The 12,370-nt window shown below is 43.7% G+C and overlaps 1 long non-coding RNA gene across 1 annotated transcript in view; it reads right to left on the reverse strand.

Moving 5' to 3' along the window:
* Nucleotides 1-477: 477 nt before the first annotated feature.
* LINC01456 (long intergenic non-protein coding RNA 1456) overlaps nt 478-12,370 on the reverse strand; it is a 134,472-nt gene continuing 122,579 nt past the window's right edge. Inside the window, exons 4-5 of the long non-coding RNA NR_133641.1 lie at nt 2,292-2,460; nt 478-735 (exon numbers count right to left, since the gene is read on the reverse strand). This is a non-coding gene — a long non-coding RNA (long intergenic non-protein coding RNA 1456). The remainder of the gene's footprint in view (nt 736-2,291; nt 2,461-12,370) is intronic.

Genomic DNA, 12,370 nt, shown 5'->3' on the forward strand with positions numbered 1-12,370 from the left:
TCTTACTTTGAAGTGCGTACAAATATCCTAGAATCTTGTTAAAATAAAGATTCTTATTCAGTAGGTCTGGGGTGGGGTGTGCCAATGCTGCTGGTCCATGAACCAAGCTTCGAAAAAAGCTATGGTTATCTGCCCATATCCCAAATCAAGCCTAAATTTGTTAGCTTGGGTGAGTCTGGTGCTAAGAAGGCCAAGAATTCTGAATTTATCCTCATGTGGTGCTTTTTCCTTCATGATCACAGCTCTAACCCTGATCAACAACCTCACACTTGGTCTATGGCCACCACCCCTAGAAAAGCAAAGCCAGGTAGGTCAGTTTCCTGCACAATGGAAGGCCTCTTATTGCAGAAGCTTCTCTGAATGACAGACATGTAGCCATTTTGCCAAACATATTAGTTATCTATTACTGGTAACAAATCACCCTGAAACTTGGTGCCTTAAAACAATAAACATTTATTACCTTCCAAAACTTCTGTGGATCAGGAATTTAAGAGCAGCTTGGCCAGATGGTTCTGGCTTGAGATTTCCCAAAGCAATATAGCCAAATGTTGGCCAAAGCTGCAGTTATCTGCAGCCTTCACTTGGGCTGGACAGTCTCCTTCCAAGGTGGCCCATTCCCATAGCTGGCAAATTGGTGCTGGTGAGAGACCTCAGATCCTTTCCATGTGGTTCTCTCCACAGGGCTGCCTGAACGTCCTCATGGCATGAAGACTGGCTTCTCCCAAAGTGAATGACCTAAGAGACCAAGACATAAGTTGCACTCTTTATGACTGATCCTCTGCAGTCACACAATGGACACTTCTGCCATATTCTATTGGTCACACAGACCAGCCATGAATTCAGTGTGGGAGGAGACTACACAGGGTCTGAATACCAAAAGGCAAGGATCACTGTGGGCCACCTTGGAGGCTGGCAACCCACACCAAATTAACCATGGCTCCCTACTCTCTCTGCAAACCATGCTGACTGAGGTCAATAGCCCACTGAACACTCCAAGCCATACTCTACTAGCCTATGTGTCTGTTCTCACTGCGTAAGCTCTACTTACTTACTGCAAGTCGATTGTGTTTGCTCCCAAACCTCTTTATGACAATTATTCCGGTTGCACTTGTTATTAAAACTTAGTAATTTATACAAAGTGTGAATTGATGAAATACGAATGCAAAAAGTTTTTTCTATGGAAATTAAGTTGAAAATTTTGGAAAGATTTGATAGTAGCAGATAGCTAGAAATGCTGTTAAATTATGTGTGTGCCAAACAATTGTAAAAGATTGAAAAAAATCATCTAAAAATTGGGGGGATTATGCACTGAGCTTGCTTCACAAGTGTCTTGCTCCACTTTCAAGAAACTACAACTGGAAATTATAGACAGTGCATTTTAAGTATGGCTCATGCAAAAAGGAAAACCCACAACTCCTATCAGCAGATTTGTATTCAAAGAAAATGACTTGGACGCACATCAAAAGCTTAGTGAATGAATGTATATTTACATGTTTTAAGTTAACTAGAATGTTTAATGATTGTGTGTACCACTTTTCAAAAATAATTCTCTGCTTTACTTATTTTTTAACTAACCAACCAAATCCAGGCTCCCCACAATTTTTAAATGTTTTTTTCCATCTTTTACAATTGTTTGGCACACACGTAATTCAACAGCATTTCCAGCTACCTGCTACTATTGAATCTCTCAAAAATTTCAACTTAATTTCCATAGAAACAACTTTTGCATTCATATTTTGTCGATTCACATGTTGTATAAATTACTTAGGTTTAAGAAATCAGGCTCAGATGGATGGGTATGAAAGCACGCATTGCAATTGGGAAATTGTTCCAGGGCCTGGCACTTTTGTAAGAAGTAGGAAGAAAGGATAGAGCTAGAGATAAGGAGGGGTTTAATCGCCTGGTTTTAGAAAGTTCTGAGGCTGAAAGACAATTTGTCTGCAACCTCATCTACTTGCTACCAACAGGGTGGGGCCACAGCTGCCCTATTCTACCCATGCCTTGGGCTTCATAATGTCTTTTCCCTTTCAAGGCAGCTTGCCATCTATTTTAACCTGATTTCACTTGCATGCAATGGTTAGGAAGCAATATGGCTTGCTGGCCACCAAAACTTTATGCTCTGCTTTCCGTGGTGTGGAGTTGTTGCTAGGAAATGGTTTCACAGACAGGAACTACATTCTCCAGCCCAGCTTCCATCCAGATGTGGTCGTGCAATCAGTTCTCATTGATGAAATATGACTGGAAGTGATGGCCAGCACTTCCAGGCTAAGATTTCAAAGAAGCTGTTGTACCTTAGTAGTGGTCTTTCTCCTGCTGGCTGAATGCACAGGGCTCTGAGGTTCTGAAGGACAGTAGAGCTACCAGGTAGAAGAAACCTGGGTCCCTGAATTACCGCCTGTGAGCAAGTCACTCACTTGCTGTCCAGGAACACCTACAAGAGAAAATTTCAGTGTCAAGACACTGAAATTCAGAGCATTGTTATAGTAGCTAGTGTTATGTCCCTTTGACCAATACAGGGGCTGCTTACCCTGAGGCTTGCCCTTCTTTCTTCCTCCTTCTTCTGTCCCCCTTCCTCCTCCTACACCAGCATCTTCTGTTTCAATGGGATATGAGCTATAGTATGTACTTCAATGAGGTATGAGCTATATAGTATGTATAGTATATGCTTCTGTAGTATGATCTATGGATTCTTAACCTGAGGCATCTGTACAATTAATTACCTGCAAAAGGTTGTCTATAGGTGCATTTTTCTGGGAAGAAGGTCCACTGATTTTGTGAGCTTCTCATAGAAGCCTGGGAGCCCCCCAAAGTGTTATGAAGTGTTCCTCTAAGAGATTCTCCTTTGGCTGGGCACAGTGGCTCATGCCTGTAATCCCAGCACTTTGGGAGGCCAAGGTGGGCAGATCACAAGGTCAGGAGATCGAGACCATCCTGGCTAACACAGTGAAACCCCATCTGTACTAATAATACAAAAAAAATTATCCAGACATGGTGGCATGTGCCTGTAGTCCCAGCTACTTGGGAGGCTGAGGGAGAATCGCTTGAACCAGAGAGGTGGAAGTTGCAGTGAGCTGAGATCGCACCACTGCACTCCAGCCTGGGCGACAGAGCGAGACTCCACCTCAAAAAAAAAAAAAAAAAAAAAAAAGGAAAAAAAGAAAAGAAAAGAAAAAGAGATTCTCCTTCAATGTCTTATTCCTAATTTAATCTATGACCTTAATTCATGCTATGATTTAGAGATCTGAATATCTGTGGGTAATCAATAGATGCAGATGAAAGTGAAAGCCAAAGTAAAGGGCTCTAGTTGGGTTGTGCATGCAAATGGAGAGGTACATTGTGGTTGGGATAGAATGGTGGCCTGAGGAAGATGAATGAAAGCCCCCTCTGGGATTTTTAAAGTAGCTGCCCTTCTCCTTTTGCAGTAAGTATAGCCCCAAAGTGTCTCCTAGTGACCTCAGAGAGCTACCATATTCATTTCCATTAGCCTAATTTACAGCCTCAACTAAGGAGATCCTGTTTTTGTATATTGTGAGAAGTCATAGCTCAAGTCACATGTCCCGAGGAGTTTATGTCCAGCAAAACTGCCTTACTTCTAGGGAAGTAAAAAAATAAATAAATAAAATGGCCTGGAGGATTCTGAAAGAAACTGGAAGTATGAGACCATGTATCATGCTTGTTCCAAGTGTTGAAAATTAATGGGTGGAAATTAAGGGTCTCCAGGGAGTCCATTATTCATAGGAAGGTGTCTAGTCTTTCCCAAGGCTGGGAATGACCTGAATTCTAAGCCAAGGGTTGACATAGAGCTTCCCATTTTACTTGGTGTCTTTTAATAGAGCAGATATAAATACATCACTTTCATCTTGAAGGAGTGTGGAGAATTATGGCGCCACCACACCAAGGTCCTTTCCCCAAGAAGCAGGCATGCAGGTAGGAGGTAGAAATGTTTATCCAAGCAGGATACGGGAGTATTCATCTTTCAGGATTCCCCTTGCTCATGCTTTTGACTAGGGTCTGTGGATATTTTCTCTTGTTGCCCCATTTTTAGACAAGTTTTCATATACTTTGTTCCTTGGACATTCTAGACCTTGGTCTAAACCTTGGACTTTGGTCCAACCCAGTGGTTCTCAATGTATAATCCCCAGACCAGCAGCACCAACAAATTCTTGGGCCCCATCTGCTGAATCAGACCCTCTGAGGATGGGGCCAAACAATACATTTTAACAAGCCCTCCTGGTCATTCTGACACATGCTCAAGTGTGAGAACCGTTGGACAAACCTCTACCAAGAGTTTGTCCTTTGCTGCCTGAACTTGACCCATGCAGTCTCTTAGTAGATCCACATTAAGTTCCCTTCGAGACTGAAATGGTGTAAGCAGCTTCAGAGACATTTTGGGTTTTTGAGTGTTTGGGTTTTGTTTTTGTTTTGGCTATTACTGAGATAATGATGCTGTGTTTAGCTCACGTAAGAACAACACAGCAGAAAAAAATAGCTTCTGGAAAATTAATGTTTTTGTATACTATGAGATGCAGGCATTCTTGGGTCTCCTTTTTCCCCAGGTATTCCTGAGGTGTTGGTTCCCTCTAAGTTGTAATGTGTGGGAAGACCTGCCGGGTACACACAACCTGTCTCATCTTGATCTGGCACTGCAGAAAAGATATTTATCTCCAGCTGAAAGACAGCCTGATAATCTCTCTTACTTTAATCTACTCCTTTACATTATGTAGCTTCAAATACTCATGTTTGCCTTCAGAGTTTATTAGCGGGAAGGCTGCTTCTTAATGCTCAGAGCTGTAAAGCAATTATTTGATACAGAAGTCATTGCCTGGCAACCTATGCCACTCACAGCCGCCTGCCCTATTTGAGGTGTTCTCCTCGTTCTTCCTCTTCTTTTCCTCATCTCATGACCATTTCACTTTCTTCCTCTTTTTTTCCTCCATTTTCTTCCTTTTACTCTATGCTCAAAACATTCTAAGACTGTACTTTTCAACCTTTATTTTGAATCATCTGGAGTTCTTGTTTAAAATGCAAATTGCTACGTCCCACTCTCTCTAGACACTGAATCAGCATCAGGGAGTGCAGCCCAGGAATCTGCCTTTTCAACACGTGCCCCCCACCCCCACCACCATGATTCTAAGACTTACTGGATCACTGTTCCAAGGTCTCTGAAGATTGCCAGCTCTGGAATGTCTTAGGACTTGGGATAGCATTCTGTTCTACAGAGTCTGAAGTGGGCTGAGCGACTTGTCTAGCTGCATTGGCTTGCAGTCACCTGGCTTCACTGTGGTCTCTATGTTTATTCAAAGTGGCTTTGGAGGAAGGCTGATGGAAATTACGGAGGTACTAAAGTCTCCCTCCACAACCCCCAATCCCACAGCCATGCCATATGATAGTATTACTCTCCTACCCACCACTCTCAAAAAGATGCTGAAACCCAAAGTGATCATCTTATTTGAACTTTGAATGAGACAGGCACAAAGATATTTTTTAAAATCCAGCCTCTTGGCCGGGTGCGGTGGCTCACGCCTGTAATCCCAGCACTTTGGGAGGCCGAGGCAGGTGGATCACCTGAGGTCAGGAGTTCAAGACCAGCCTGGTCAACATAGCAAAACCCTGTCTCTAGTAAAAATACAAGAATTAGCTGGGCATGGTGGCAGCCGCCTGTAATCCCAGCTATTTGGGAGGCTGAGGCAGGAGAATCACTTGAACCCAGGAGGCAGAGGTTGCCGTGAGCTGAGATCGCACCACTGCACTCCAGCCTGGACCACAGAGAGAAACTCTGTCTCAAAAATAAATAAATAAATAAATAAATAAATAAATAAATAAATAAATAAATAAATCCGGGCCCTTGACACTTGCACCTCAATACCCTGCATGAGAGCAGCAATGCATTTTGATCGAACCTCAGTGTTTTTCACTCTCCCCACACTGTTCTACTCTCCCCACACTGAACTTAGGGACTGAAGAATCTTCCTAGGGTGGAGCAGAATGCCCTCCCTGTGCTTGTGAGCTCCTGTAGCAAATCCTATTGGCACCCTTGCATATCCTCCTCCCTCTACATTCAGGCTGCCAACTGAAAAACATCCATAACTCTCTTCGAGGATGCACTTGGCTGGTGCTCAGGGCAAGATGGAAATGCTGTAGAGTTAATGTCCCTGGAAGCAGCCCTCAAACAATGACAGATGTGAGATTTGATGGAGAAATAGCCCAGCTTCCTCATCCCTCTAGGAGGATAACTCTGGAGTGAATTCAGCCATCCTCCAGAGTCCCCAAAGGAATTGCTCCGCAGGAGTCCATAGTGGGAACTTGCCTATTACACATGAAGTAGCAGCTTCCTTCTCTCTCCTTCTCCACTTTCCAACCAGCATCTCCCAAGACCACCTTCCAAATAAACAACAGCAGCTCCCCCTTATCCACAGTTTTGCTTTCAGAGCTTGGTTTCAGTTACCTGAGGTCAACCACAGTCCAAAAACTTTAAATGAAAAGTTCCAGAAATAAACAATTCATGAGTTTTACATTGCGTGCTGTTCTGAGTGTGATAAAATCTTGTGCTGTCTTCTCTGTCCTGTTGAGGACATGAATCTTCTCTTTGTCCAGAGTCTCCACGCTGTAGATGCTCCCCACCTGTGAGTCTCTTAGCTGGCTCAGGGATCCAATCCAAAAATAACATAAATTATATAGGGTTTGGCACTATCTGCAGTTTCAGGCATCCAGTGGGGGAATCTTGGAACGTATCCCCCTCAGATAAGGAGGTACTACTATACTTGCATTTGAATCTTTGTCTCTGGATCTGCTTCTGAGGGCACCCAAACCCTGGCACCCCTCCCATCTCCAGGACTTAAAAAACACAAAGATGAGCTAACAGTTCCAAATGGACACAGGAACTGTAAGAGACGGGAGTGCTCCCTTGTCTCTGGACTCCAGACAAAATTAGTGGATGCCAGGGAAACTTCATGGCCTGTTTCATAGCTCCTCCTAAATAATGAGCCTTATACTACCTAGAATGACTGGGGCAGAGCAATAGCAGTCCTCTTTTGCCCTGTCGCAAACTGAAGGCTCTGTGTTCCTCGTCAGAAGGTCAAGATCTAAGCACAATCTGGGGTCTTGCAAAGTCACCAATTCACGTTCATCAGAAGTCCTTAGAAGACAGGGCATTCCACATTTGTTCATCCCTTTAACAAATATTTATGCAGCAATTGCTGCTAGTCAGGGTCTGGGAGATACAGAAGGAGTGTGTGTGAGTTCAGCCTGGTCAGGCTGTTGCTAGACGGAACCCTACCAACTTCTTCCATTTTACATGGAAGCTTGCATCTCCTCCTGCCTGGATGAAGCCAAAGTCTGCTAAACGGGCTCCCCACCTTCAGTTCAGCCTCATCTGCTTCACCCTCCATCCCGGGAGCAGTGTTATCCTTCTGAAATATAAAACTATGTGGCCCTCCCCTGCTCAATAACCTTCTGTAGCTTCACTTTGCCTATGGAGTAGAGTACACATTTCAGATTTTATATGCTCCCAAGGGCTCTCAAGTTTGGCTCTTTTCCCATCCTTCTCTTCCCCTTCCCATTAGGTGGTTTGTACTCCCTCAAACACTCCATATTCTTTCAGTCCCCCTGCCCTTTTTTTTTTTTTTTGCACTTCCTGTTCCCTAGGCCTAAATCTCACTTATGACTTTAGCCAAACTCTATTCATTGTTGAGCACACTTAGGCAGAATGTCACCCTCTTCCATGAAGTTTTCCTCACCCCACTTCTGTACCTCCAACAGTACCAACAACCATGTCCTCTAAATCCCTTACTAACGTCACACATATGACAAATTCAATATTGATCACACTATGTTGTCATTGCTTCTCTCAAAAGACTATGAGCCTGTAGAAAGCAGGGACATTGCCATTTTGTTCATCTTCGTACCCTGCTGTGGGCCTAAGATAATGCCCGGGACACTACATTTGTAAGAAATGTTTGAGAATGACTGCATGGTCCCATGAAAGCCAGAAGGAAATTCAGCCCTTTCTCTCTGGTAATTGGCACCACTGCTGACATAAGATTGGCTCCACACTCCTGCATGGAAATGTCAGCTTGGGCTGTCCTCTGCAGCTTCCTTCCGTTTCAGGGCTCCCAGCAGTTGTCTCCCCAACTTTAGAGCCGAGATCTGGAGGTTGCCCTGGCATAGGAGGCCAGTAGGGTGCTGCGATCTGTCAGGAGCCAGAGCTGAGCAGATGGATGTTCATTTCCCTGGGGTGCATTCATGCTGCTCCCATGGGACTCCACTGACACAAGGTGGCAGGAAGCTGATCACATTGCAAGCCCTCATAGGTATTCACAGGGAGTCTTCAATGCTGATGGTCACAAGGAGATTCAAGACAGGGAAAGAATCAGATCAAGGTGCCTTATACCCAGAGAAGCTGAGATGGCATTCACAGGGAGAGATGTCTCAGAAGGGACAACTCAAGGAGTTCTCTACTGGCAGGCATCCAGGGAAGAGAGGGGAGGATGAGTCAATATTATAGCTGCTCAGCTAAAGCCAGCAGCCACTTAATTCTACCAGAGAGCTGGTGGCAGTGCTGGCCTGAACCATCTTTGATCGCTCTCAAACTAAAACAAACAAACAAACAATGCAACACTTTGGGAGGCCAAGGCAGGAGGATTGCTTGAGGCCAGGAGTTGGAGACCTGCCTGGGCAACATAGCAAGACCCATCTCTATAAAAATAAATAAGTAAATAAATAAAACAAAAAACCCTCACTCAACCCCAAATCCATCACACATCTTTCTGTACTTCTGCAAGGTATAGGCCAGAATGTTTCATTCTAGAGAGACCTGGGCTTTATAAATATTTACTATGGACCAGGCACAATGCTATGTGTTTTCTGTGCATCATCTCAATTAATCTTCATAACAAACCCTGGTTGATAAGTATTATAATTATCCCCCATTTTACAGATGAGAAATTGGACGCTCAATGAGGTGAACTTGGCCATCTTCGTACAGTTGGCAAGGAGCAGAACTGGGATTCTTACCAGGTTTATAGGACTCCATGATCTGTGTTTGGAACTTCCACATGATGCCACTGAGAGTACAATGGCTTCCCTGATGTTCACGTGAAGAGGCAGCAGAGTATAGAAATGAGGCAGGGGCCCTGATTCCTGGTACTTGGCCACCAACTAGTTGTGTGGCTGTGGATAAAGCATCCAATCTTTCTGGACCTCAGTAATTTCCTTGATAGGCAAGTGCGAGGGTTGGACTGAATGATCTCTAAACCTCCTTTAGATCTAGCATTCTAGTACTCCATAGTGGAATCACATTTTCTTAGATGCATGGCCATCATGGGTGGGTATCCTTGCTCTTAGAAAAGACTGACTGGTGGGAAATGAAACTGAGCTTAAGCAGGTGGCATATCCCTGAGTCATGATATGAAGGGGGGCTTTAGTTGTCATTTGGAGGCTGTTGAATAAAGCTGCCTAGAGGACCAGATTTTTAGTCCCCTTCACACATTCTGGTTGTCAAGTATTAAGCCCCTCGGGTTGGGTCTGCCCGTTTCAGGCTGTGAACTTCTGAGGATGGTAATTTTCTTTAAATTGCTGTCTATAAATCCCAGCAAGTTTCACAAATGGACAGTGTTTCAATTATGACTACTGTATTTAAAAATGTCCCCAAACTTGGTGACATAAATCAACACTTTTATTATGCCTATGGATGGATTCTGTGAGTCAGTAATTCAAACAGGACACAGTAGGGATGGTTTGCATCTGCTCCTTGTTGTTTGGGATCTAAGTTAGGAAGACTCAATGATTAGAGGTAACTGAATGGCTGGGGGCTGGAATCTCCCGGAGGAGTCTTCACTCACAGGTCCAGCAGTTGATCTGGCTGTTGGCTGGGACATCCACTGGGTCTGTTTATCAGAACACATTACTTCTTCATGTAACTTCTTGGGCTTCCTCACACTATGGTGGCCTGAGGGTAGTCGGAATACTTCTTTTTTTTAATAGTGTGTAAAGACTAATGGCATTTAATTCATATGTATCATGCTTTGGGATAATTTTTCTTTTTTATTATACTTTAAGTTCTGGGATACATGTGCAGAACGTGCAGGTTTGTTACATAGGTGCCATATGCCATGGTGGTTTGCTGCATCCATCAACCCGTCATCTACATTAGTTATTTCTCCTAATACTAACCCTGCCCTACCCTCCCAACCCACAGACAGGCCTCAGCGTGTGATGTTCCCTTCCCTGCATCCATGTGTTTTCATTGTTCAAGTCCCACTTATGAGTGAGAACATGCAGTGTTTGGTTTTCTGTTCCTGTGTTAGTTTGCTGAGGATGATGGTTTCCAGCTTCATCCATGTCCCTACAAAGGACATGAACTCATCCTTTTTTATTGCTGCATAGTATTCCATGGTGTACCCAAAGGATTATAAATCATTCTGCTATAAAGACACATGCACACGTATGTTTATTGCAGCACTGTTCACAATAGCAAAGACTTGGAACCAACCCAAATGCCCATCAGTGATAGAATGGAATTCTTTCATAGTAGTTCAAGATCTAAGTGTGAGTGTCCCAGAAACTGAAGAATAAGCTGTATTGCCTTTTGTGACTTAATTTCATAAGTTATTTCCACTTCATTCTATTGACTACAAGTGAGTCATTACGGCCAGATAAGATTCAAGGGAAGAGGACATGAACTCTTACCTCTAAAAGGGAGGAGCATCAAAACTGGCATAGCATTTTCATTGTTGTATAGGGCAGGGACTGTGTCTTAGTTATCTCTGAATCCCTACAATCTAGCATAGGGAATGATAAAGAATAGATGCTCAAAGAGCGACTGGTGATAAAGCAGTGCATAAGTGAGTGATTGAAGGAAAATGTATCCCATTGAAGAGTGTCTTGTTGAGAAGTATAGGCATTTATTCTACCTATTTTTTTGTTTGCATTGTCTTCGCTTTGGTATTTCAAGGGTAAAATAAACCATGATTTGTGAATGACATGCAGAGTGGAAAAAAAAGTTCAATTGCATTATGGTAGCTTCACCTTTAAAGAGGATTCTATGCTCATTAATTCTTCCTCAGTCCCATATGGTCTTCTGTGTTGGGGTGTCTTCCATGTTTTTCAACAAAATGGTTCAGAAATCAGGTTCTACCAGAACCAACTGAACATTTTGTAGTGAGGTCTGAGCTGACCTCCCCAACCTGCCCACCCAGCTCTATGTCTGTGTTCTCCTAGTTAGTTGAGTTCTAGCCTTCCCCTCTCCTCCCCTGCCCCTTCTCCTGCCTCTCCCCTCCTCTTGTGGGAGGAGTGACCCCTTGCCCCTACCCCACCCCTTACTCCTTCTGCCCTTCTCCCTAACACCCTCTTCTTTTTTTACTCTCATGTTCCCTCCCCTGCTCCTTCCCCTCCCTCTCCTCCTCCTGCTGTCTCTCCTTTCCCCTCCCCTACTCTCCCTCACTCCCTGTTCCTCCCACAATGTCATCACCTCTAGCTTGGGGTTGAGAATATCTTCAGGATTGTCAGAAGAGTCAAGGGGAAGCCAAGCCACCTCTGCCCCCAGCACCAAACCAGGAGAATGTCCAGGACCATCAGCCCCTGGACTTCTCCTCATTGGTTTGGTATATGGCTTTTCATCAATTTATGGGCACCAAGTTATGATGTCACACAAAAGGCTTAAAGCTCCTTTGGCTGTTTCAAACTAGCATGCAAAGCCCAAAATTACAGAAACACGACAGAAAATAAGTCTTTAAGAAGAAAAACCATGACAATGGGAATTTGCCATTCCCAAATTAACATTTGGAAAATACTAGTCACACTTATGCCAGCAGAGACCTCAGAGAGCATCTTGCTCAGCTCCTCATTTAACAAACAGGGAGTTAAGAGCCAAAGAGGAAGAGCTATAACAACAACCAGCATTTACTAGGTACTGATTCTGCCCCAGGAACTTTCTTATTTTATGACAGTTGTGCAACAATCAGATGAGTTGAAATCATTAACCCCGTTTCTAAGATAAAGAGACAAAAGCTCAGAGAGGGTCAGTAAGTTCCGCAAGGATACACAGCCAGAAAATAGGAGAGTAGGGATTTAAACCCAGTATCTAGGATGAGTCCCCAAACTGTGTTCTTAACCATTAGGCTGAACTGTATCTCTAAGTGATTTTTTATTACCCTCCCTTTCCCCAGATCACACATATTGCTAATGGTTAGATTAATTTCAGAACAGTAAGTTGAGCAGTGCCTGAAATTGAACAAGTGATGCTACAGTTCAAGTCAAAGTCAAAGTCAGACTTCATTAAACTGAATTCAAGTAGAAAGGACTCAGGGCAGAGATCTTAAGAGGCTTAGAGGATGGTTGTTTGCAGGGACAACTACGAGCTTAGGGTCAGCAA

This window comes from Homo sapiens, chromosome X (genome assembly GCF_000001405.40).
Source record: "Homo sapiens chromosome X, GRCh38.p14 Primary Assembly".
Lineage (NCBI taxonomy): Eukaryota > Metazoa > Chordata > Mammalia > Primates > Hominidae > Homo > Homo sapiens.